Source organism: Homo sapiens, chromosome 15, assembly GCF_000001405.40.
Source record: "Homo sapiens chromosome 15, GRCh38.p14 Primary Assembly".
In the NCBI taxonomy this organism is placed as follows: Eukaryota; Metazoa; Chordata; class Mammalia; order Primates; family Hominidae; genus Homo; species Homo sapiens.
Genome location: NC_000015.10, coordinates 34,269,151 through 34,295,787, shown reverse-complemented (window position 1 = coordinate 34,295,787; position 26,637 = coordinate 34,269,151). Strand labels below are relative to the sequence as shown.

Here is a 26,637-nt window from a genome sequence, read left to right as displayed (position 1 = left end):
ACTTCAGGTGATCCGCCTACCTTGGCCTCCCAAAGTGCTGGGATTACAGGTGTGAGCCACCGCACCCAGCCTCCAAACTGTATGTTAATGTGTATTTTGTCCACACTATAAATGTATCAAATTTTTTGATACAAGAATAGTGACTCAAACTATTATTATCACATGACTGTATCGTTATAAATCAATGTGTATATCAGTGCTAAGAATTCAACCACATTACTTTGATATTTTCCACAGTACTATTGTACTACAAAATGTTTAGAATTCCAAGAAATATGCCCAGCTACCTAAATTCTAATTTGTCGCCATGACTCTTTTTAGCATATAATTGTTATTATGTCTGTTGAGGATCATTCTGTGGCTTATCTCAATTTTCTGTGATATAGTATTATTCCTATTGCATAGATGGTAAATTAAAGCTAAGAAGTATTGACTCATTTTCCCAAGGTTACACTAATAACATGTGGTAGAGCTAGTATCTCACCTGAGCTTTACCTGCTTCCCAGTTCTGTGTTATCTTTTCACTCTGCCTCATGTCTGCGCTCTGGGATAGTTGCACAGCTGTCATAGTGGGCTCTGTCTTCAGCATCATCCTGGAGGTTCCCTTTGCCTTTCCTGTAAAATGGAACAATCATGATAGTACTTACAGCATAGGATGAGATTGCTGTAAATGAGATAATACAGGTAAAACGTTTAGGTGTCTATCACATACATACCCTAATAAGTGCTAACTGTTGATAATTCTTTCTATTGTTGTTATGTCTACTAGGAGACTTTTATTGGTCCCAAAATTATTCATGACACTTGTATTTATTATAAATCCATAATTTAACCAAATATTACACAAATTGATGTAATATGAATAGGGAAAGTAGAGTTGTGTCTATAAAAGCTAACGTGGATTATTTAGCAGGTCATTAAACACTTATTTAAGGCTGGGTGTGGTGGCTCATGCCTGTAATCCTAGCACTTTGGGAGGGGAAGCAAAAGGATCTCTTGAGGCCACAAGTTAGAGACCAGCCTGGGTGATATATTTTGTCTCTACCAAATAAATTAGCCAGTTATAGTGGTGCACACCAGTAATCCTAGCTACTCAGGAGACTGAGGTGGGAGGATTGATTGAGCCCAGGAGTTGAAGATTACAGTAACCTAAGATTATGTCATTGAACTCAATCATGAGCAACAGAACAAGACCCTGTATCTTAAAAATAAAATTAAAAAAAAGGTATTTAGGGCCAGGTGTGGTGGCTCACAACTGTAATCCCATTACTTTGGGAGGCCAAGGTGGGTGAATCACGCGGTCAAGAGTTCGAGATCAGCCTGGCCAACATGGTGAAACCCCCTCTCTACTAAGAATACAAAAATTAGCCTGGCATTTTTGTATCACATTTTGGATCACAGGTGGTGAGTGCCTGTGATCCCACCTACTCAGGAGGCTGAGGCAGGAGAATTGCTTGAACCAGGGAGGTGGAGTTTGCAGTGAGCCGTGATCACACCACTGCACTCCAGCCTGGGTGACAGAGCAAGACTCCGTCTCAAGGTGGGGGTGGAAGGAAGTATTTAAATTAGCAGTGGACAAGAGACCTGTAAAAGAGTTGGGAGTGGGGCAATGACAAAGCTTTGAAAAGAATATAGATATTGCTTCATAAGTATCTTTAAACCAAAGTTGGAAATCACAGACTTATGCCTTATGGGTGTAATTTACACAAGAAAGAAAATGAATAAATTCAATCTGCATAGTTGTATCGCTTTTACAAAATGATTGGTGAATTAATATACATTTGCAAGTTTATATACTTTTATGTTGAAATATTAATGTGTGAGCCATTTTTGTGTGTGTGTGATTCTCTATTTCAACCAGCTTTTAAAATTACCTATCAGCCCTGGCTGGGCATGGTGGTTCACACCTCTAATCCCAACACTTTGGAGGCTGAGACAGGAGGATCACTTGAGAACAGGAGTTTGTGGCCAGCCTGGGCAACATAGGGAGACCTTGTCTCTACAAAAAAACATTTTTTTAATTAGCAAGGTGTGACGGCACATGCCTGTAGTCCCAGCTACTGGGAAGGCTTAGGCCAGGGGATTACTTGGACCTGGGAGGTTTAGGCTGCAGTGAACTGAGATTGTGCCATTGTACTCCTGCCTAGGCCTCAGAGCGAGACTTTGTCTCAAAAAAATGAAATAGGCTAGGCGCGATGGCTCATGCCTGTAATCCCAGCACTTTGGGAGGCCAAGGCAGACAGGTCATCTGAGGTCGGGATTTCGAGACCAGCCTAGCCAACATGGCAAAACCCCGTCTCTACTAAAAATACAAAAATTAGCTGGATGTGGCAGTGGGCACCTGTAATCTCAGCTACTCGGGAGGTGAGGCAGGAGAATTGCTTGAACCCAGGAGGTGGAGGTTGCAGAGATCTGAGTTTGCACCACTGCACTCCAGCCTGGGCAACAGAGTGAGACTCTGTCTCAAAAATAAATTAATTAATTAAATAAAATAAAAACCTATCAGTCCTGACAGCAATAGATAGAATTACTTTTACTACATTTTACTAATTTCCCTGTTTTACCTAATTGCTGTATCCTTAAAGCCATATCAGAACTCAATTAAGATTTTTTAAAAAACACGTATCTTAAGGAGTCGCTTCCAAGATGGCTGAATAGGAACAGCTCTGGTCTACAGCTCCCAGCAAGATTGACACAGAAGATGGGTGATTTCTGCATTTCCAACTGAGGTACCTGGTTCATCTCATTGGGACTGGTTGGACAGTGGGTGCAGCCCACGGAGGGTGAGCCAAAGCAGGGTGGGGCATTGCTTCACCCAGGAAGCACAAGGGGTCGGGGGATTTCCCTTTCCTAGCCAAGGGAAGCCGTGAGTGACTGTGCTTGGAGGAGTGGTACACTCCTGCCCAAATACTGCGCTTTTCCCACAGTCTTCACAACCATCAGACCAGGAGATCCCTTCCCATGCCTGGCTCAGCAGGTCCCACACCCACGGAGCCTTGCTAGCTGCTAGCACAGCAGTCTGAGATTGACCTGGGACGTGGGAGCTTGGTGGGGCAAGGGGCGTCTGCCATTGGTGAGGCTTGAGTAGGCAGTTCTGTGCTCACTTGGAGTAAACAAAGTGGCAGGGAACCGCGAACTGGGCAGAGCACACCACAGCTCAGCAAGGCCTACTGCTTCTCTAGATTCCACCTCTGGGGGCAGGGCATATCTGAACAAAAGGCAGCAGACAGCTTCTCCAGACTTAAACGTCCCTCCTGGACAGCTCTGAAGAGAGCAGTGGTTCTCCCAGCGTGATGTTTGAGCTCTAAGAATGGACACACTGCCTCCTCAAGTGGTTCCCTGACCCCTGTGTAGCCTGACTAGGAGACATCTCCCAGTAGGGGCCGACAGACACCTCATACAAGCAGGTTCCCCTCTGAGACGAAGCTTCCAGAGGAAGGATCAGGCAGCAATATTTGCTGTTCTGCAGCCTCTGCTGGTGATACCCAGGCAAACAGGGTCTGGAGTGGACCTCCAGTAAACTCCAACAGACCTGCAGCTGAGTGGCCTGTCTGTTAGAAGGAAAACTAGCAAACAGAAAGGAATAGCATCAACATCAACAAAAAGGACATCCACACCAAAACCCCATCTGTAAGTCACCAACATCAAAGACTAAAGGTAGATAAAACCACAAAGATGGGAAGAAACCAGAGCAGAAAGGCTAAAAAATTCCAAAAACCAGAATGCCTCTTCTTCTCCAAAGAAACACAACTCCTCACCAGCAAGGGAACAAAACTGGATGGAGAATGAGTTTGACAGGTTGACAGAAGTAGGCTTCAGAAGGTCGGTAATAACAAACTTCTCCGAGCTAAAGGAGCATGTTCTCACCCATTGCAAGGAAGCTAAAATCTTTGAAAAAAGGTAGGACAAATGGTTAACTAGAATAACCAGTGTAGAGAAGAGCTTAAATGACATGATGGATCTGAAAACCACAGTACAAGAACTTAGTGAAGCATACACAAGCTTCAATAGCCGATTCAATCAAGCGGAAGAAAGGATATCAGTGATCGAAGATCAAATTAATGAAATAAAGTGAGAAGACAAGATTAGAGAAAAAAAAGTGAAAAGAAATGAACAGAGCCTCCAAGAAATATGGGACTATGTGAAAAGACCAAATCTACGTTTGATTGGTGTACCTGAAAGTGACAGGGAGAATGAAACCAAGTTAGAAAACACTCTTCAGGATATTATTCAGGAGAACATCCCCAACCTAGCAAGGCAGGCCAACATTCAAATTCAGTAAATACAGAGAACACCGCAAAGATGCTCCTCAAAAAGAGCAACCCTAAGACACTTAATTGTCAGATTCACCAAGGTTGAAATGAAGGGAAAAATGTTAAGCACAGCCAGAGAGAAAGGTCAGGTTACCCACAAAAGGAAACCCATCAGACTAACAGTGCATCTCTCAGCAGAAACCCTACAAGCCAGAAGAGAGTGGGAGCCAACATTCAACATTCTGAAAGAAAAGAATTTTCAACCCAGAATTTCATATCCAGCCAAACTAAGCTTCATAAGTGAAGGAGAAATAAAATCCTTTACAGACAAGCAAGTGCTGAGAGATTTTGTCACCACCAAGTCTGTCTTAGAAGAGCTCCTGAAGGAAGCACTAAACGTGGATACGAACAACTGGTACCAGCCACTGCAACAACATACCAAATTGTAAAGACCATCAGTGCTATGAAGAAACTACATCAATTAACAGATGAAATAACAAGCTAGCACATAATGACAGGATCAAATTCACACATAACAATTATTAACCTTAAATGTAAATAGGGTAAGTGCCCCAATTAAAAGACACAGACTGGCAAATTGGATAAAGAGTCAAGACCTATCGGTGTGCTGTATTCAGGAGACCCATCTCACGTGCAAAGACACACATAGGCTCAAAATAAAGGGATGGAGGAAGATCTACCAAGGAAATGAAAAACAAAAATAAATAAATAAATAAAGCAGGGCTTGCAATCCTGGTCTGTTTGATAAAACAGACTTTAAACCAACAAAGATCAAAAGAGACATTTACATAATGGTAAAGGAATCAATTCAACAAGAAGAGCTAACTATCCTAAATGTATATGCACCCAATACAGGAGCACCCAGATTCATAAAGCAAGTTCTTAGAGACCTACAAAGAGACTTAGACTCCCACACAGTAACAATGGGAGACTTTAACAGCCCACTGTCAATATTAGATCGACGAGACAGAAAATTAACAAGGATATCCAGGAACTGAACTCAGCTCTGCACCAAGTGAACCTAATAGATATCTACAGAACTCTCCACCCCAAATCAACGGAATATACATTCTTCTCAGCACCACATAGCACTTATTCTAAAATTGACCACGTAATTGAAAGTAAAGCACTCCTCAGCAAATGTAAAAGAAACAGAAATCACAACAAACTGTCTCTCAGACCACAGTGCAATCAAATTAAAACTCAGGATTAATAAACTCACTCAAAACCACGCAACTACATGGAAAATGAACAACCTGCTCCTGAATGACTACTGGGTAAATAACGAAATGAAGGCAGAAATAAAGATGTTCTTTGAAACCGATGAGAACAAAGACATAACGTACCAGAATCTCTGGGACACATTTAAAGAAGTGTGTAAAGGGAAACTTGTAGCACTAAATGCCCGCAAGAGAAAGCAGGAGAGATCTAAAATCAACACCCTAACATCACAATTGAAAGAACTAGAGAAGCAAGAGCAGACAAATTCAAAAGCTAGCAGAAGGCAAGAAATAGTTACTAAGATCAGAACAGAACTGAAGGAGATAGGGACACAAAATCCCTTAAAAAAATCAATGAATCCAGGAGCTGGTTTTTTGAAAAGATCAACAAAATAGACTGCTAGCAAGACTAATAAACAAGAAAAGAGAGAAGAATCAGATAGGCATAATAAAAAATGATAAAGGGGATATCACCACCTATCCCAAAGAAATACAGACTACCATCAGAGAATACTATAAACACCTCTATGTAAATAAACTAGAAAATCTAGAAGAAATGGATAAATTCCTGGATACATACACCCTCCCAAGACTAAACAAGGAAAAAGTTGAATCTCTGAATAGACCAATAACAGGTTCTGAAATTGAGGCAATAATTAATAGCCTACCAACCAAAAAAAGTCCAGGACCAGAAGGATTCACAGCCAGATTCTACCAGAGGTACAAAGAAGAGCTGATACCATTCCTTCTGAAACTATTCCAATTAATAGAAAAAGAGGGAATCCTCCATAACTCATTTTATGAGGCCAGCATCATCCTGATACCAAAGTCTGACAGACACAACAAAAAAGAATTTTAGACCAATATCCCTGATGAACATTGATGCAAAAATCCTCAATAAAATACTGGCAAACCGAATCCAGCAGCACATCAAAAAGCTTATCCACCATGAGCACGTGGGCTTCGTCCCTGGGATGCAAGGCTGGTTCAACATAGCAAATCAATAAACGTAATCCAACATATAAACAGAACCAATGACAAAAACCACATGATTATCTCAACAGATGCAGAAAAGGCCTTCAACAAAATTCAACAGCCTTTCATGGTAAAAACTCTGAATAAACTAGGTATTGATGGAACATATCTCAAAATAATAAGAGCTATTCATGTCAAACCCACAGCCAGTATCATACTGAATGGGCAAAAACTGGAAGCATTCCCTTTGAAAACCGGGACAAGACAAGGATGCCCTCTCTCACCACTCCTATTCAACATAGTGTTGAAAGTTCTGGCCAGGGCAGTCAGGCAAGAGAAAGCAATAAGGGATATTCAAATAGGAAGAGAGGAAGTCAAATTGTCTCTGTTTGCAGATGACATGATTGTGTATTTAGAAAACCCCATCGTCTCAGCCCAAAATCTCCTTAAGCTGATAAGCAACTTCAGCAAAGTCTCAGGATACAAAATCAATGTGCAGAAATCACAGGCATTCCTATACACCAGTAACAGACAAACAGAGAGCCAAATCATGAGTGAACTCCCATTCACAATTACTACTAAGAGAATAAAATACCTAGGAATCCAACTTACAAGGGATGTGAAGGACCTCTTCAAGGAGAACTACAAACCACTGCCCAAGGAAATAAGAGGGGACACAATCAAATGGAAAAACATTCTATGCTCATGGGTAGGAAGAATCAATATAATGAAAATGGCCTTACTGCCCAAAGTGATTTATAGATTTAATGCTATCCCCATCAAGCTACCACTGACTTTCTTCACAGAATTGGGAAAAAACTACTTTAAAGTTCATATGGAACCAAAAAAGAGCCCGCATTGCCAAGGCAATCCTGTGCAAGAAGAACAAAGCTGGAGACATCAAGCTACCCGACTTCAAACTTTGCTACGAGGCTACAGTATCCAAAACAGCATGGTACTGGTACCAAAACAGATATATAGACCAATGGAACAGAACGGAGGCCTCAGAAATAACACCACACATCTACCACCATCTGATCTTTGACAAACCTGACAAAAGCAATGGGGAAAGGAGGCTACACAAACTACACAAACATATACATGGTGTTGGGAAAGCTGGCTATCCATATGCAGAAAACTGACACTGGACCCCCTTACACCTTATACAAAAATCAACTCAAGATGGATCAAAGACTTAAACATAAGACCTAGGACCATAAAAATCCTAGAAGAAAACCTGGGCAATACCATTCAGGACACAGGCATAGGCAAAGACTTCATGTCTAAAACACCAAAGCAATGGCAACAAAAGCCAACATTGACAAATGGGATCTAATTAAACTAAAGAGCTTCTGCACAGCAAAAGAAACTATTACCAGAGTGAACAGGCAACCTACAGAACGGGAGAAAATTTTTGCTATCTATCCATCTGACAAAGGGCTAATATCCACAATCTACAAAGAACTTAAACAAATTTACCAGAAAAAAGCAAACAACCCCATCAAAAAATGGGCAAAGGATATTAACAGACACTTCTCAAAAGAAGACATTTATGCAGCCAACAGACATATGAAAAAATGCTCATCATCACTGGTCATCAGAGAAATGCAAATCAAGACCACAGTGAGATACCATCTCACACCAGTTAGAATGGCAACCATTAAAAAGTCAGGAAACAACACATGCTGGAGAGGTTGTGGGAAAATAGGAATGCTTCTACACTGTTGGTGGGAGTGTAAATTAGTTCAATCGTTATGGAATAGAGTGTGGTGATTCCTCAGGGATCTAGAACTAGAAATACCATTTGACCCAGCAATCCCATTACTGGGCATATACCCAAAGGATTATAAATCATTTTACGATAAAGACACATGTGCATGTTTATTGCGGCACTATTCACAATAGGAAAGACTTGGAACCAACCCAAATGTCCATCAATGATAGACTGGATAAAGCAAATGTGGCACATATACACCATGGAATACTATGCAGCCATAAAAAAGGATGAGTTCCTGTCCTTTGCAGGGACATGGATGAAGCTGGAAACATCATTCTCAGCAAACTGTCACAAGATCAGAAAACCAAACACCACATGTTCTCACTCATAAGTGGGAGTTGAACAATGAGAACACATGGACACAGGGAGGGGAACATCACACACCAGAGCCCGGGGGGGTAGGGAAGGGATAACATTAGGAGAAATACCTAATGTAGATGACGGGTTGATGGGTGCAGCAAACCACCATGGCACGTGTATACCTGTATAACAAAACTGCACATTCTGCACATGTAACCCAGAACTTAAAGTATTTAAAAAAAAAAGTACTTGCTTTGGCATTTGCTTTGCTTTGCTTCCTCATTGGCTTTTTTCAAGCAAATTGTTATAAGTAATTTCTGTAGCTGCACTAGGTGTCATCATATTTAAGCTTTATTATTTGTCCTCTTTTGAAGCATAGTATGAGTACATATCTTGTGAATTAGGAGATAAGGTTGCTGCATAATTAATGCACATAGGGAAATTTTTTATTTTTGAGACAGAGTCTCACTTTGTCTAGAATGCAGTGGCGCAATCTTGGCTCACTGCAACCTCCGCCTGCCAGGTTCAAGCGATTCTCCTGCCTCAGCCTCCCAAGCAGCTGGGGTTACAGGCACCTGTCACCACACCCAGCTAATTTTTTGTATTTTTAGTAGAGACTGGGTTTCACCATGCTGGCCAGTCTGGTCTCAAACTCCTGACCTCAAGTGATCCACCCACCTCAACCTCCCAAAGTGCTGGGATTACAGGCGTGAGCCACTGTGCCCGGGCAGGGAAATTTTAAAAATGGAAAATGGAGCTCTCCTTTTAGACTTATGAATGCTATTAATGAAGACCACAATGTATTAGCCAAAAGACTACGGAGTCAAATACAATTTTTTAAATTGTGGCTTAAAAAAATAGCATAAGGCCAGGCATGGTGGCTCACGCCTGTAATCCCAACACTTTGGGAGGCTGAGGTGGGCAGATCACTTGAGGTGAGGAGTTTGAGGCCAGCCTGGACAATATGGTGAAACCCCATCTCTACTAAAAATACAAAAAAATTAGTTGAGCATGGTGGCACGTGCCTGTAATCACAGCTACTCGGGAGGCTGAGTCAGGAGAATTGCTTGAACCCGGGAGGCGGCGGTTGCAGGGAACTTAGATCGTGCTACCACACTCCAGCCTGGGTGTCAGAGCAAGACTGTTTAAAAAGAAAAAGAAAAAAAAAAGCAATAAAACCTAGCATCTTAATAATTTTTTAGTGTATAGTTCAGTAGTGTTAAGAGTATTTCCATTGTTGTGCAGATCTCCAGAACTTTTTCATTTTGCAAAACTGAACTTCTATACCCAATGAACAACTCTCCATTTTCCACTCCCTACCACCCCGTTAACCACCATTCTGTTTTCTGTTTCTATTAATTTGACTCCTTTAGATAACTAATATAAGTGGAATCATATGGTATTTGCCTTTGTATGACTAGCTTATTTGATTTAGTGTATTGCTGTCAAGATTCATCCATGTTGTAGCATGTGTCTGAATTTCCTTCCTTTTTAAAGGTTGAATAATATTCCATTTTATGTATGACAAACACACACACACACACACACATATAGCACATTTTGTTTATTCATCCATTAGTGGACATTTGGATTGCTTCCACCTCTTTAAATGAATTTTTTCTTACTGCCATTTGGTGGGTACATGGAGAACTCACACCTAATTTAAAAACCCATCCCACTGGTTTTCCACTACACAGGATTCCCTACTAAGCTGGCTTGGAAAAAAAAAAAAACCATCATAAGCACTGTGCCTTTAATTCGATTGCTAGCTCTCTGTCAGTCTCCAACTCAGTAAAGGGTAAATGGCATCTCTGTTCATCTAATTGCTGTGGAAATATCTTTGACTCTTTTCTTTCTCTCCCACCCTGTAGCCAATCATCAGCATGCCAATCTTGTCAGTCCCTCCTTTGAAACATACCTAGGCTAGTCAACATATCCAGCATCTGACCACTTCTCATTACCTCTAGTATTTCTGATCTGATCCATACTACCATTATCTTTTCTTGGACCACTGTAAAAGCCTTCTAACTTTTTTCTGTTTATTTGCTTGGTCCCTGCTATCTGCTCATTCCAGACTATAGCTGTTGTGATCATGTTAAAACAGAAACCAAAACCTTTCAATGGCTTCTTATCTCACAGTAAAAACAAAAATCCTGACTATATCCTACAAGGCCGCACATGATCTTTGATTCCTCCTCCAACATCTATATCCATCTCTTATTCCATACTCTGTCACTTTCAACTTGCTTATTCTGTCTGATAATCCGGTCTCCTTGCTGCCATTCATCAAACATGTCAATACATACCTGCTTCGCTTAGCACTAACTGTTCTTCCTGCAGATATTTGTATGGTTAGATATCTTCAATTTTCTGCTCAGATGTCACATTATCTGAGAGGCCTTTCAGACTGAGTATCTAAGTGTGCACACAAACCACTCTCCCACTAGTCCTCTGTATTCTTTTACTCAGCTTTTTTGTTTGTTTTATAGCTTACTGTTCTTGACATAGGTTACTGGTTGTTTTTTTCTCCACTAAAATTTAAGCTCCTTGATGGCAGGGATTTTGTTACTACATTTCTAGTAACTAGAATAGTGTTTCACATGTAGAAGGTTCTCAGAAAATATTTACTGAATACATTAATGAAAGAGCTACAGATCTCAAAGTAACATGGGCCAGGCGCAGTGGCTCATGCCTGTAATCTCAGCACTTTGGGAGGCCGAGGCAGGTGGATCACAAGGTCAGGAGTTCAAGACCAGCCTGGCCAACATGGTGAAACCCTGTCTCTACTAAAAATACAAAAATTAGCTGGGCGTGGTGGGCGGGTGCCTGTAATCCCAGGTACTCGGGAGGCTGAGGCAGGAGAATCGCTTGAACCTGGGAGGCAGAGGTTGCAGTGAGCTGAGATGGTGCCTGCCTAGGCAACAGAGCAGGACTCCGTCTCAAAAAAAAAAAAAAAAAAAAAAAGAAAAGAAACAAAGAAAGTAATATGGACATTACTTTTGAAGACTAGCCCGTGAGCTCTCTTTCCGTAAGATATCATCAACCTGCCTCCCTCCATCAGCTTCACTACAGCCATTATCATGTCTTTCTGTGGTTTCTTCAGTAAACTTGTAACTGGTTTCCCCATTTCTGTTCTTGGTCTCCCCTACAATCCATTCTCAAACCAGCAGCCTGCATTTTTAAAAAATTATGCTGGCCAAGTGTGGTGGCTCACACCTGTAATCCTCGGAGGCTGAGGCAGGAGAATCGCCTGAGCCCCAGAGTTTGAGACCGAGACGAGCATAAGCAACATAGGGAGATCCTGTCTCCATAAAAAAAATCAAAAAACTGGCTGGGTGTAGTGGCACATGACTGTGATCCCAGCTACTAGGAGGCTGAGGCGGGAAGATCACTTGAGCCTGGGAGGTTGAGGCTGTAGTAAGCCCTGATTGCACCACTGCACTCCAGCTTGATGTCAGCGCAAGACCCTGTTTCAAAAAAAAAAATGCTAACCTTTCAGTCGTTTTACGTCATTTTCAGAGTAAAATTCACACTCCTTATTATAGTGTGCTACACTACAAGATGTAGTGCCTACCTAATTTACCCTCTTTAAAAAAAAAACACTTTGTTACTCACTATGCTTTAGCTACATTAATATTTCCTAAATATACCAAGCTGATTCCCATCTTAGGGTCTTCTCACAGCTGTTCCTCTGTCCTAATCAGTCTTTTCAGGATCCTCATATGTCTGGCTCCTTTTCATGCAAGTCTCACCTTAAGGGTTACCTCCTCAGAAAGGTCCTGACAGTCCACCCAATAAAAAATAGCCTCTCTAATCACCCTTCTTTATTTTCTTTATAACACCATAAGCTGAAATTATCTTATTAATTATCTTTTCTATTTTTATTTTTATTTTTTTCGAGACAGAGTTTCGCTCTTGTCACCCAGGTTGGAGTGCAATGGTGCAGTCTCCGGTCACTGCAACCTCTGCCTCCTAGGTTCAAGTGATTCTCTAGCCTCAGCCTCCCAAGCAGCTGGGATTACAGGTGCCTGCCACCATGCCTGGCTGATTTTTGTATTTTTAGTTGAGATGGGGTTTCACCATGTTGGCCAGGCTGGTCTTGAACTCCTGACCTCAGGTGATCCACCTGCCTTGGCCTCCCAAAGTGCTGGGATTACAGGCGTGAGCCACAGTGCCCGGCTATTAATTTTCTTTTCTTATTGATGTTCCCATATCTGCATGACAAAAGGAACTTTTTCTTATTTACCTTCTATCCCTAGCACATGGAAAAATGACTGGGACTTATTAGTCGCTCAGATATTTAAACACAGGAATGGTTGAACGAATGAAGTTTTATAGTAGCCATCTGAGGCACTTGGTAAAACTACAGAATCTCAGCCTCCTCCCATAAAATTGAGTCATTAGGGTTAGTTATGTGACCCAGAAATTTGTAGTTTAACAAATACCCCATGACTGTTGTAACCAGGCAAATTTTGAAAATACTGACTTAATGGAAATAGTGCTGAGTGAATGAATGAGTGAGTGAGTGAGTGAGTGATCATAGCTCATTGCAACCTTGAACTTCTGGGCTCTAGTATCCTCTCACTTCAGCCTCCTGAGTAGCTGAGATGACAGGCACACACCACCACACCCAGCTAATTTTATTTCTTTTTTAAGAGATGGGGTCTTGCTATGTTGCCCAGGCTGGCCTCAAGCTCCTGGCCTCAGGTAGTCCTCCAGCTTCAGCCTCCTGAGTAGCTAGAATTACAGACTTGAAGCACTGTGCCCAGCCAGGGAGTTATCTTTTAACCTTAGTATATTGATAGGAATTAGTTCAACGTTTCCCAAAGTGTATATCATAGGACACTAATTATACAAGGTATTTGATACAAAATGAATGATCTTTTCCTATGTGTTTAGGAATGCTGAATATTATATTCTTCTTTTGGAGATTAGCTAGGCAGTCATTAGCATTTTGAAGGGTATGAGAAATTACACTTTAGAGCAATCTACTTATCTATTAAATAGATTTGACAAGTCTACTTACAATCCCTGCCCCAAACCGTTTCTTACCAAATCCCTATTAATATACTAAGGAATGTGTACTTATGCCCTAAGGACTATACACTGTACATGAAGTAGAGTATGTGGTTCCTTGCTACTATCGCAGCTTATTCTGTTCATGGTTAACTGTCTACACAAGCCACTATGTAGCAGATGGTGTGGACTAAAGTACACATTTTAGCTTAATGATCTTTAGCTATTTTTTTTTGGCATATGTAGGCTCTATATATCTTTTTTAAACTATATTTTTATTACATTAAAAATTAAAATAAGGATTTTTGTCCTTTATGAGGTAGTGTAGAAACATAAAGAATTAACTTTTTGTATGCACTGGTTTACATTGCCATCTTATTGCTTAATTACTTTGCCTAAAATTGCCTACTATTTTTTACTTATTTATTTATTTATTTTTGAGACAGAATCTTGCTCTGTCACCAGGCTGGAGTGCAGTGGCGCCATCTTGGCTCACTGCAACCTCCGCCTCCTGAATTCAAGCTATTCTCCTGCCTCATCCTCCCAAGTAGCTGGGACTACAGGCATGCGCCACCATGCCCAGCTAATTTTTTGTATTTTAGTAGAGATGGGGTTTCACCATGTTGGCCAGGATGGTCTCAATCTCCTGACCTCGTGATCCACTCGCCTCGGCCTCCCAAGGCGCCAGGATTACAGGCGTGAGCCACTGCACCCGGCTTACTCATTTATTTAAACCTCATTAATCTCATGTTAGTTTTTCTAGGTCTATCTAGTTCATTGCTATAAATTTAGAATATATTATGTAAAGAGGATGGGCTTTTCAGATTTTGACTTAGTTCAACTTGTTTTCCCACCAAGATGAGATCCTACCCATATAGACAGGCAGAATCTAATAAATGTGAATGTTAGAGTAATTGTCTTTGGTTCCATCTTTTTTTCAATACCTATTAAAGTATAGTGATCAGATCAATGTAATTAGTATATCCATTGTCTCAATCATTTATCATTACTTTGTATTAGAAACATTCAATATCCTCCTCCTAGCTATTTGAGTCTAATATATTATTGTTAACCGTAGTCATCCTTCAATAGTGTAGAATACTAGACTTACTCTTTTTTTATCTAGCTATACTTTTGTATCCTTTAACAAATCTCTTCCTATCCCCCTGCCCTCCGCCCATACCCATGCCCTTCTCACCCTCAAGTATCGTCTGTTCTAATTTTTACATCTATGAGATCAACTTTTTTTTTCTGACTCTCACATATGAATGAGAACATGTGGTGTTTAGCTTTCTGTTCCTGGCTTATTTCACTTAACATAATGTCCTTCAGTTCCATCTACGTTGCTATGAATGATAGGATTTTATTCTTTTTAAGAGCTGAATAGTATTCCATTGTATATACATACCACACTTTCTTTATCCATTCATCTGTTTTTGGACACCCAGGTTGAGTCCATATCTTGGCTACTGTGAATAGTGCTGCAATAAACATGCAGTGCAGGTGTCTCTTTGATATACTAATTTTACTAATTTCCTTTGCTTTGTATAAATGCTCAGTGGTGGGATTGCTGGATCATATGGTAGTTCTAGTTGTACTTTTCTTGAGTACTCTCCATACTCTTCTCCTTAGTGGCTATACTAGTTTACATCCCCAAATTCAGTTCCATCTTTAACTATCTTAGTTTAATTCTGAGTTGGAATCGTTTCTTTTGATGATGATGACGCTTTGGTTTTTTTAAAAACTGGGAGTTAAGAAAGTTAGAAATGCCTTACGTGTTAAGACTAGTCATTTCAGTTGTTTGTTTTCCTGAAACAACTTTTGTGATATGTCTAGATAATACAGCCAGTAGCATAACAGTCTTAATTCTGATGTATATGCGCTTGGTCATGCCTACTTCTTTATCTAAAGAATTGGGCAACAATTTCTGCTGTTGGTGTGTTATTTAATTATATTACTGATTCTAGATTTAATAAAGACTAAAACCTTCTAGCCCTGTGTTTTAGCTACAAGATACCAGCTAGCCTTTATTTGCTTCAAATTGTCTGCCAATGATGGTAAACAAAGTGATTCTCAAAGGAAATTTTGTTCAAAATAGTCTCAAAGACTATTGCTATTGGCAAACTAAGGAAAATAATAAAGCTCTTCAGAAAAACTTGACAGAGGCAGTTTTGCAAGTGAGTACCACCCACAATCATTTCACTCTGTCTCCATTCTCCCAGGTGCATGGCAGGAAACTAAAATCTTCATTCTTACTATTTACCCAAGATAAGTTAAATATATTGAGCAAGTGCTTATTTGTAAAACTACCATATCATTAGTGTTACAAGGAAATATTTTCAGTTCATCTTTCTGATTACATCTATCTGTTTTTAATAGGTATATAGTTTGTTTCTATTTTTTATTTGATCTATCATTTTGACTTATAGAGTATCTCTGGCTTTTGATTATAACCTGATTGTATTTTGTCCTAAGAGTAGCTTTATTTATGAAGACCATCATGGGGTAAAACTAGTGACATTATTGGCACATAGTTCCTATTAGAGAGAATAATCTGGTTTAAAATAAATGTCATTTTGAGTAATCTTTAGGACAACTCCCAGTCTTAGGCAAACTTGGGTGTGCCCTCACCAATGACATAGTCAGGAAAAGTGGTAAATGGGGGAGTTTAGACACAGAACAATTGAAGGGTGCTCAGACATATCTCAGCAGTGTTAGCATGATGACTGCACAATTTGGATTGCAAACCCAGAAACGCCCTTCAAGTTAAATCCACTGAACAATTGTAATTTTTACAGGCAAAACTAGTTTCATTCTAGTGGGTTCACGGGCCTATATACTCCCAGATTGACCTTTATTTTAGTTCTTTGTTTTTTTTGTTTTGTTTTGTTTTGTTTTTTGTTTGTTTTTTTGAGACGGAGTCTTGCTCTGTCGCCCAGGCTGGAGTGCAGTGGCCTGATCTCCACTAACTGCAACCTCCGCCTCCCAGGTTCAAGCAATTCTCTGCCTCAGCCTCCTGAGTATCTGGGATTACAGGGGCGCATCACCATGCCCAGCTAATTTTTGTATTTTTAGTAGAGATGGGGTTTCACCACGTTAGCCAGGCTGGTCCTGAACGCCTGACCTCATGATCCACCCGCCTCAGCTTCCCAAAGTGCTGGGATTACAGGTGTGAGCCACCGCTCCTAGCCTTGTTTTAGCTTTTATATATATTAATAAAAGATTTGCAGGTTCTTGGAGGTTAGTCTTCACATTACTAAATAAGTATCAAGGATTGCCCATAATTTTTCAATTATAATAAATGAAAATAAAAATCTAAGTTGAACTTGTAGGGAACTACACAAAAGACTTGTTTCTGGCTGGACTCAGTGGCCCATGCCTGTAATCCCAGCACTTTGGGAGGCTGAGGCAGGTGGATCATGAGGTCAGGAGTTCAAGACCAGTCTGGCCAACATGGTGAAACCCCAACTGTACTAAAAATACAAAAATTAGCTGGGCGTGGTGGTGGGCACCTATAATCCCAGCTGCTCTGGAGGATGAGGCAGAAAATTGCTTGAACCTGGAAGGTGGAGGTTGCAGTGAGCCGAGATCGCGCTACTGCACTCCAGCCTGGGCGACAGAGCAAGACTCCATCTCAAAAAAAATAAAAGGACTTGTTTCTACTCATCTGAAGTATAGGAGGGTGTTCAAAGGAAGACTCCTGGCTTGTCTAGAGAGTATACATACGTCATGTATGCACAGCTTAGAAGGCAAGAAAGTATATTACACAATAGAGGAGTTAATTTTTTTCTTTTTTTTTGAGATGGAGTTTCACTCTTTTTGCCCAGGCTGGAGTCAGTGGTGTGGTCTTGGCTCACTGCAACCTCCACCTCCTGGGTTCAAGCCATCCTCCTGTCTCAGCCTCCAGAGTAGCTGAGATTACAGGTGCACGCCACCACGCCCAGCTGATTTTTTTATTTTTAGTGGAGATGGCATTTCTCTATGTTGGTCAGGCTGGTCTCGAACTCCTGACCTCAGGTGATCCACCCGCCTCGGCCTCCCAAAGTGCTGCAATTACAGGCGTGAGCCGCTGCGCCCAGCCGAGCTAATTCTTTTTAAAGGAAAAGTCATTTATATTTTCCTCTCTAAAACCATACCTAGTCTGTCAGAGTTATCTGAGATGTTTTCCTATTTCTCTTCATAGGTTGTATTCCCTGGCAATTTCGAATAACTTGTTTTAGCCTATCATACCTTGTTTTAGAACAAGAAAGTTAGAATTACAGAATATTGGGAAGCAAGAACATAAGTTCTCAAAGCATCAAGACTATAACCTTTTTCTTTGGGCAGTAGTATGATGTGTCTTTAGCCACTGATTAACCCAGGCATTAGTTTTTTAGAACTATAAACATTAAAATATGAGGTTCTCAACTTTTCTGTTCCTGCACACCTGAGAGATACAAGGTATTCATATTAGTGACTATGGCTGGGAATCAGAATCTTGAAGGAGAGGTGTTGGTATGATTTAAAGAGAAAAATAAATGATGTGATAACACTTCCTCAGCTTTTCCTCTAGAGTCACTGGAGTAGGTTTAGATGATGACCAAGGTTCTTCTAGTTCTAAAATTCTGTTATGCTTTCTCTACTCTTCTTTTCATGCCAGCTACATGCTTGTTTCTCCATAATGATAGGGCCCAATTTTCCCTAAGAGAGAGAGTGACTACAGAACTGTTATTCCTATTTTGTCTTATGTGCAAGAACATTCCTACTTTGTCTTATGTGCAAGAATATATATATATAGTGGGGGGTTGGGGGAGAGATGAGGTCTCACTGTCACCCCGGCTGGAGTGCAGTGGCATCATCATAGCTCACTGGGGCCTCTAACTCTTGGGTTCAAGGGAACCTCTTGCCTTAGCCTCCTGAGTAGCTGGGACTACAGGTGCACACGCCACTATGCCTACCTAATTTTTAAAATGTTTCATAGAGATGCGGTCTCACTATGTTGCTCAGGCTGGTTTCAAACTCCTGGCCTCGTGATCCTCCCGCCTCAGCTCACCAAAATACTGGGATAACAGGCAGGAGCCACTGCACCCAGCCCCAGTATCCTTTATTTAGATGGGAAGTAAGATAAGTTTAAAGTAAAAACTGGGAATTCACTTGCTGGTATGTTTGGGGAAAATATTCTAGAATAGGAACATTTCAAATTTTCCTTTTTCAAAGCAAATTAAGGAAAAAAATCCCCTGAAAATAAATTGTTAAATGTTCAAATAGCATTTAAAACTTCTGTGGTAGAAATCAGATTTCTACCTGACTTCCTTAATTAAAATATATAGTGTATACTCCAATATACATCAGAAACTGGAATTTGTTAAGTATTCTGATTGTTTCTTTCTGTCTGGGATGCTTAAAGTGTTAATTAAATGATATGTAAAACATATGTGGACTATGGATTTTGTCTAAAACAATAATGTGATATAAAAATGTCTCAGATTTATTGTTAGACAAAATCAAAGGTACTTTTATGTAATCTGTTGCATACATCATAGCTGTAGAAAATCCTTAACTTCAGTTAGAGGTTAGTGAAAATAAAGATGTGACTTTTTTTCCCATTGTTCACATAAACCCTGGTCTAAAATTATTTTTATTACCCCAGGCACATTCAAGGAAGCCAGAATCATCAGCGTCTCAAGAGATTTAGTCTTTGAGGAAAGTGGAGCTTAGTCTTTTCTGTTTTTAGCTCTTAGTGCTTTTCAAACCTTTAAAATAAGTAAGTGGTTGACTGTTAAATGATGATTGTCAATATCTCTTGCATTAGGAACTTGGCTTATTGCCACGAATTTTATTTCAGATTACTAAAGAAATTGATATTTATGAAAGCCAATGTAGTCAGTGTATCTTAAAGTCAAACTACTAGAATATATCTGCTAATAGTAATAAGTGCTTTATTTATGTCTTGACTTTGAGCTGCTATAGCCATAAGTATTTTTTGTCATTAAAATGTTCCTTCGTCATTAAAAATATAATTCATATCACAATCCTGAATCATCCTTCTACTTTATGAAACGACTGCTTGGTCAAATTTGTGTGATTATTATTTTTTTAATTTACTTTTTATTGTGGCAAAATATATACAATACAGAAGTTACCATTTTAACCATGTTTAAGTGTACAACTCAGTGGCATTAATTACATTTACAGTGTTGTACACCCATTACCACTATCTGTTTCCAGAATTTCTCATCACCCCAAACAGAAACGCTGTACTCTTTAAGCAATAACATTCCATACCCTACTCCACCCAGCCCCTGGTAACCTCTAATCTGCTTTCCATCTCCATAAATTTGCCCTTTCTCAACATTTTATATAAATTGAGTCATATAATATTTATCTTTTTGTGTCTGGTTTGTTTTCCTTAGCATAATGTTTTCAAGGTTCATCCATGTTGTCACATGTATCAGAATTCCATTCATTTTTATAGCTGAATAATTTTCCATTGTATGTGTATATTACATTTTGTTGATTCCTTCATCTGTAGAAGTATACCTGGTAACCTTTTGGCTATTGTGAATTATTTTGTCATAAACTTTGTGGTAAAGTATCTGTTTGAGTCCCTGTTTTCAATTATTTTGGAAGTATAATTAGGAGTAGAATTGCTGATGGTGATTATGTTTAACTTTTTGAGCTATGTGATCATTCTTTACACTAGTTCATTCTATTTTTTATTATCTTCACATTAATATTTCATAAGTTTTTAAATTTTTTTGCTTATTTCCTTGGTTGACTTTTGTTGCTGATTTTAAAGAAATTATTTGTTTTGATCATTCATTTTTTTCTTTTCTTTTCAATTGTTTGTTTTTCAGACCTGAGTCAGAACTCCATCACAGGGGAACACAGCCAACTGTTAGGTATAGTATTACTGTGGGGATTGACTTTATCCAAAGTCACCCTTAACTCATTTATCCTAACAGACATTACTCCCTTCTCTGATTCTATTTTCTATCCCCTCCTTTTCTACTTCCCACCCAACAACTTTTTTCCTGCTGTTTCTATTCCCAACTTGCCAAGTTTTAGGAAACTACTTCTATAATTGATTACTAAGACTCAGTTAAATTAAAAAGTAATTTTGCATGGTTTATGGTTAAAAAAAATCTAAGAACTAGAATTTTTTAAAGATAATTTGGAAAAGAAGATATTATAATAGCTTTGTAATATCTGACTTTGCAGCTAATTTTCCCTTTTTATTACTTTTCTTGGCCTTTTGATCCCCTTTTTAATTATTGAAAGTACTTCATAAACAGTATGTCCTTAAGCAGTCCTTAGAATTTGGTGTTCCAGTTCCTTATCTATGAAACAAATTATGGAAATGAATTTACTTCCTCTGGGTACCACTTCTTTAAAGTAAGTGCATAATTTGACAAGAATTTCTCTTTTTTTTTTTGAGACAGTGTCTCGCTCTGTCACCAGGCTGGAGTGCAGTGGTGCGATCTCCACTCACTGCAAGCTCCGCCTCCCAGGTTCATGCCATTCTCCTGCCTCAGCCTCCCAAGTAGCTGGGACTACAGGCGCCCGCCACCACACCCAGCTAATTTTTGTATTTTTAGTACAGACAGGGTTTCACCATGTCGGCCAGGATGGTCTCCATCTCCTGACCTCGTGATCCGCCCACCTCTGCCTCCCAAAATGCTGGGATTACAGGTGTGAGCCACTGCACCCGGCCTTGACAGGAATTTCACAAGACCTCAGGACTGATAAATTTTCAAAGTGTAAAAAGAAACATACCCTGATGAGGCATTCAGCTCAAACAAAAGGCATATATAAAGAAAGTAAAAGTATCTCTTCTTCTTACCACCTCATTTCCACCTCTTAAAAGTACTTGCTGTTGACAGTTTCTTGGGAATTCTTCTAGAAATTTTTAATTATAAATTTTTGTATTATATATGACTATCTTTTCCTTTTTATATCAATGGTGTTATAGTAAATGGACTGTTCTATTATACAGACTGCTTCTTTTTACTTAACATTTTACCTTGGACATCTTAGTACATAAAGTTCTGCTTCATTCCTTTGTTTGTGATGGAAGAGTATTTCATTGTGCTCCTGCACTATAATTTTATTCAGCCAGTTTCCTACTCATGAGCATGTATTTCCAAGTGTGTTACTGTTGTAAGTTGTGTTGCAATGAATATCTTATACTTATATCCAGTATATAAGATAGATATATCAGTCTTAATGCCAGTATATTTGTAGGGTAAATTCCTAACAGTGGAATTCCTTACTCAAAAGATATGTACATGTTTAAAAAGATACATCAGCTTAAACTCTCACCAGTATGGAGTAATGCTTGACTCTCTATAATAAAAAAAAAAACAGGTATTATTAATCTTAAAATAGTTTCTTTACCTAATAGGTGAAAATGGCATCTCTAGTTTTTTATTTATACTTCCTTCAGTGTAAGTGAGGTTAAGTAATTTTTAGTATATTATTTGGTATTTAACACTTGTGTGTCTATGTATGCTTTGATTTGAGGCTTATTTTGATCCCTGCTGAGCTTTTAGCTGTTTAAATATGTGTAAAGCAGCTATGGAAAAATAAGCTATCAAAAAGTCCAAAGTAGGGAAAGTAAAAACTTCAGAGGATTAGTTGAAGAAACTGGGATACTCCTTTTTCGTTCTTTCTATATTAAAGACTTAGGATAGTCCTTGGGTTAATGAGAAGAGTTTATGAGACCATAGCCCTCATTCCTTTAGTGAGTTTATATGCTGAAACAGTACCTGACATCCTAGGCACTCAGTATATATTTGTTAAGTAAATGGTTTGACATAAATATACAAATCTGATCACCAAGGTCCTGACCGTGTGATGTTAGAGGTTTTTTGTTTTTTTGGTTTTTGGTTTTTTTGAGATGGAGTCTTGATCTGTCACCCAGGCTGGAGTGCGGTGGCACGATCTTGGCTCACTGCAACCTCCACCTCTCAGATTCAAGCAGTTCTCTGGCCTCAGCCTCCTGAGTAGCTGGGACTACAGGTGCACGCCACAGCGCCTGGCTCATTTTTGTATTTTTAGTAGAGTCAAGGTTTCGCCCTATTGGTCAGGCTGGTCTCGAACTACTGACCTCAGGTGACCCACCCACTGTGGCCTCTCAAAGTGCTGGGATTACAGGCATGAGCCACCACTCCCGGCCACTTTTTTATACTTTTATATTGGATAGTTTCTATACATTGCTCAAAATTAGTCTTCTGTATATAAAAATTTTATATTTGGATCAGGAACGATTAAACTTTCATTGAAAAATTTTGCCAGACCATGAAAAGAACATCTTTCCTCTAAACTATGAAAGTGTTTCTGTCCCTGATACATACATGACAGGCAGAGATGTTTGAGAATAGTTCATTATCAGGAACACATGTACAATGGAGGCAGCTTAGCTAGTGAAATGGACAGTCAAAAGTTGATACAGTTCTAGTATTACTAAGCTGGATTTTGTTCCCAGCTAATCACCTGCAGTAAAGGATACCTGGGGAACTGTAGGCAAAAATAAGTAACTTTGATTATGAAGGAAGAGTTATCTTAGTCATTATTAGCCAAAAAATTCTAATAGTATTTGCAAAGAGACTGCTTCAAACATTAATCTCATTTGGCAGCCTACAGTTGCATTCAATTTTTAGCCAACCTGAGGATTCATCCAGTCTTCTGGCCAGATTATCAGGTATGTCCATCCTGCCAGCCTGAGTTCTCTCTCCTAGATTCATGGAGTCAGATCATATTTTCCTTTTTTCTCATGCTCTGAAGAACTATCCTCTTCTGTCTTCTGTCTTAAGTATCTTTGTTTTAGCTGTAGCCTCAAAACCTTTAAAAGTCTGGTTTAATTAAAAGAAATTCATGAGTTTGCAAAAGACTGAAAGATTTTTTTTGTTGTATTTTCTAACCATCTGATAAGTTACTCAGAAAAGGCATTATAAGGTTGAATGAAAATCTTCCAACCAGGCGCCGTGGTTCACCACGCCTGTAATCCCAGCACTTTGGGAGGCCAAAGCAAGTGGATCGCAAGGTCAGGAGTTCGAGACCAGCCTAGCCAAGATGGTGAAACCCCATGTCTACTTAAAAAAAATTGGCCGGGCATGGTGGCGGGTGCCTGTAGTCCCAGCTACTTGGGAGGCTGAGGCAGGAGAATCGCTTGAACCAGGAGGTGGAGGTTGCAGTGAGCCAAGATCGCACCACTGCATTCTAGCCTGGGCGGCAGAGTGAGACTCTGTCTCAAAAAAAACAAAAACAAAAAAAGAAAAAGAAAAAAAAAGAAAATCTTCCCAGCTCTCCCTAAAAACCTTGTTTAGGATAATTTGGCCTGGTAGGTGAAAAACTGGTTCAATTGCCTTGCCTGCTTAATTGAATTTGTAATAACATCTTTCAGACCTTTGCTGTTGAATTGGATATATAAAAGCCCTTTCCAGTCCTTCTAAATGTTTTTACTGTCAACAGGGCACAGTTATTTTAATGTATCTACTGTTCCCACTGACTCATCGGGTCTCTTGCAAAACTCAGGGTCAGGCTGAGGAGATATACGGGAGGGTGAAACTGCTGTTGTAATAATCAAGCTGTACACCTGTGATTTATGAACTTTTCTGTGTGTGTGTGTGTGTGTGTGTGTGTAGCTTTGCACTTAAAAAAATTTTTAGAAAGCTAGCAAGCAAACAAGCCATGGGTCCTGGCATTATTAAAAGTTTTATCAGGCATCCAAGGAAAAATAATTCGAGTCTTCTGCAGTCAGTCTCTCATAAGGAATAGAAAACCAAGTAACTACTACCTCAGTTTTGAGGCTTTTGCAACCTTGATAACCAAAACTTAAGAATGGCAACATGAGATTAAAAAAAAAAAAAAGTATAGGCCAACCTTACTTAGGAACATATCTACAATCCTGAACGAAATATTTGCAATCTGAATCGGGCAACATATTTTTTTAAATTATCCCCTCATCAAGTTGAGTTTCTGCTAGAAATCCATGGTTGGTTTAATATTGAAAGTTAATTTATATAATTCACTATGTTAACAAATTAAAAGAAAAATATTGTATAATAATCTTAATAGAGGTTGAAAAAGCATTTGATTTGAAACATACCTGATATGGTTTGGCTGTGTCTCCCCCCACTCATCTTGACTTGTAATTCCCATAATCCTCACGTTTTGTGGGAGGTAACAATCATGGGGGCGGTTTCCTCTATGTTCTTATGATTGTGAGTGAGTCTCATGAGATCTGATGGTTTTATAAGCATCACGCATTTCCCCTCCTTGCACTCATTCTCTCTCCTGCTGCCCTGTGAAGAGGGGCCTTCCACCATGATTATAAGTTTCCTGAGGCTTCCCTAGCCATGCTGAACTTGGAGTCAATTAAACCTCTTTTCTCTCTCTCTTTTTTTTTTTTTTGTTTTTTGTTTTGTTTTGTTTTGTTTTTTGAGATGGAATCTTGCTCTGTCACCCAGGCTGGAGTACAGTGGCATGATCTCGGCTTACTGCAACCTCCATCTCCCAGGTTCAAGTGATTCTCCTTCCTCAGCCTCCCAAGTGGCTGGGATTACAGGGACCCACCATCACACCTGGCTAATTTTTGTATTTTCAGTGGAGACGGGGTTTCACCATGTTGTCCAGTCTAGTCTCAAACTCCAAGCCTCAAGTGATCCGCCTGTCTCGTCCTCCCAAAGTGCTGGGATTAGAGGTGTGAGCCATTGTGCTCAGCCAAACCTCTTTTCTTTATAAATTACCCAGTCTTGGGTATTTCTTCATAGCAGCATGAGGAAGGGCTAATACAGTAAAAACCCAGTATTTAAGTTTATGAGTTCATAATGATAATTTAAAAAATGAGCCAGGCACAATGGCACACGCCTGTAGTCCCAGCACTTTAGGAGGCTGAGGAGGGAGGTAGGAGGATTACTTGAGGCCAGGGGTTCAAGATCAGACTGGGCAACATTGCAAGAACCCATCTCTACAAAAAAGCAAAAAATAATTAGCCTGGCATGGTGGCACACACCTGTAGTCCTAGCTACTCTGGAGGCTACAGTAAGCTGTGATGGTGCCACTGTACTCCGCGACAGAGTGATACCCTGTCTCTAAAACAAAACAAAACCCACAACTAACTGGTCACCATTGGAGTATTTAGTGAACCAATTATTCTGAGAACTGGTCAGTAAAGGGAAAGAATTATTCGTCCTGTTTTTAACTGAACCACTTGGTAATCAAATAGTAGATTAAAGGAAATGTCTCTTTTTATAGAGGTATTCTAGCTAATAAATGAAGGAACAATAATAGAATGAGAATATTACCATTTGGTGACCTCTCATAAATTAATGGAGCTAGGCATTACTCATCAACAATTGCTAATATCTCAAAAGGAAAGACAACCAGATGACAATGACATGTACCTCCTGGCAGTTCATAATACCACTGTGAAGTAGTTTTCCTCCCTACCCTCCTAGAAGTACTGAATGTGATTAAGCTTTTAGATTCAACTACCAATTTATAGGAATTACAAAAAAAAAAAGAGCATGTTAAACAGCATCACATGGATGCCATGATCAAAACCCAGACCATCAGAAACTCTCCAGGACAAATGACATGGTTTCCTTAACACATCAATGGCAAAACAAAGTATAAAATCAAAAACATGTAGCATTTGGGATAACCTTTCAGATTCACATAGTCACATAGTACAAACCCAAACCTGTGCCAAGGGAAATTAGGTACACCTACTGCTCTCTTGCCTAACTCAGACTAGCAAAGGCCATTTGACAAGATCAGGAAGCTAAAGGAGTAACTTGAGATTTATCTAGGGCCCAAATTATAGTATAAGTGGTAATTGACAAATGCAACATTATAGAAGTAATAACATCACAACAGTAAAGTGTTTATATAAAGAGTAAGACCTTTGGTATACCTTTTTTCTGTTTACAAAAAAAAAATATGCCATGAAAAACAGAAATCTGAAATATTTAGTAGAATTATCCTATCAGTTTTCATTTGAATTATGCAGTGAAACACCAGTAAGTTTCCCAAAAATGTCAGCATTATTTAGATAGTAAAATGAGAAAAAAGAAACATAATAGTGTCTGGG

At 39.4% G+C, this 26,637-nt stretch overlaps 1 protein-coding gene across 11 annotated transcripts in view, besides 1 other annotated feature; it reads left to right on the top strand.

Moving 5' to 3' along the window:
• The window catches only part of SLC12A6 (solute carrier family 12 member 6), a 108,274-nt gene that overhangs the window by 42,270 nt on the left and 39,367 nt on the right, over positions 1-26,637 (top strand). For 10 of the 11 annotated variants that reach the window (XR_931960.4, NM_001042495.2, NM_001042494.2 and 7 more), the window contains one exon: positions 20,399-20,443. The exons of the other annotated variant lie outside the window; for it this stretch is intronic. Coding sequence is in view for 9 of the 10 variants with exons in the window: in NM_001042495.2 (NP_001035960.1) it covers positions 20,399-20,443 (45 nt within the window). In the remaining variant the exon portion in view is untranslated. The remainder of the gene's footprint in view (positions 1-20,398; positions 20,444-26,637) is intronic. 11 annotated transcript variants of the gene reach the window in all.
• Positions 2,377-2,596: a silencer, noted in NCBI's record as "fragment chr15:34585393-34585612 (GRCh37/hg19 assembly coordinates)". NCBI's record gives its function as "represses an EF-1alpha promoter that drives an FKBP-Casp9 reporter gene in an ReSE screen in K562 erythroleukemia cells {active_cell/tissue: K562}" and the evidence as "EXISTENCE:reporter gene assay evidence [ECO:0000049][PMID:32094911]".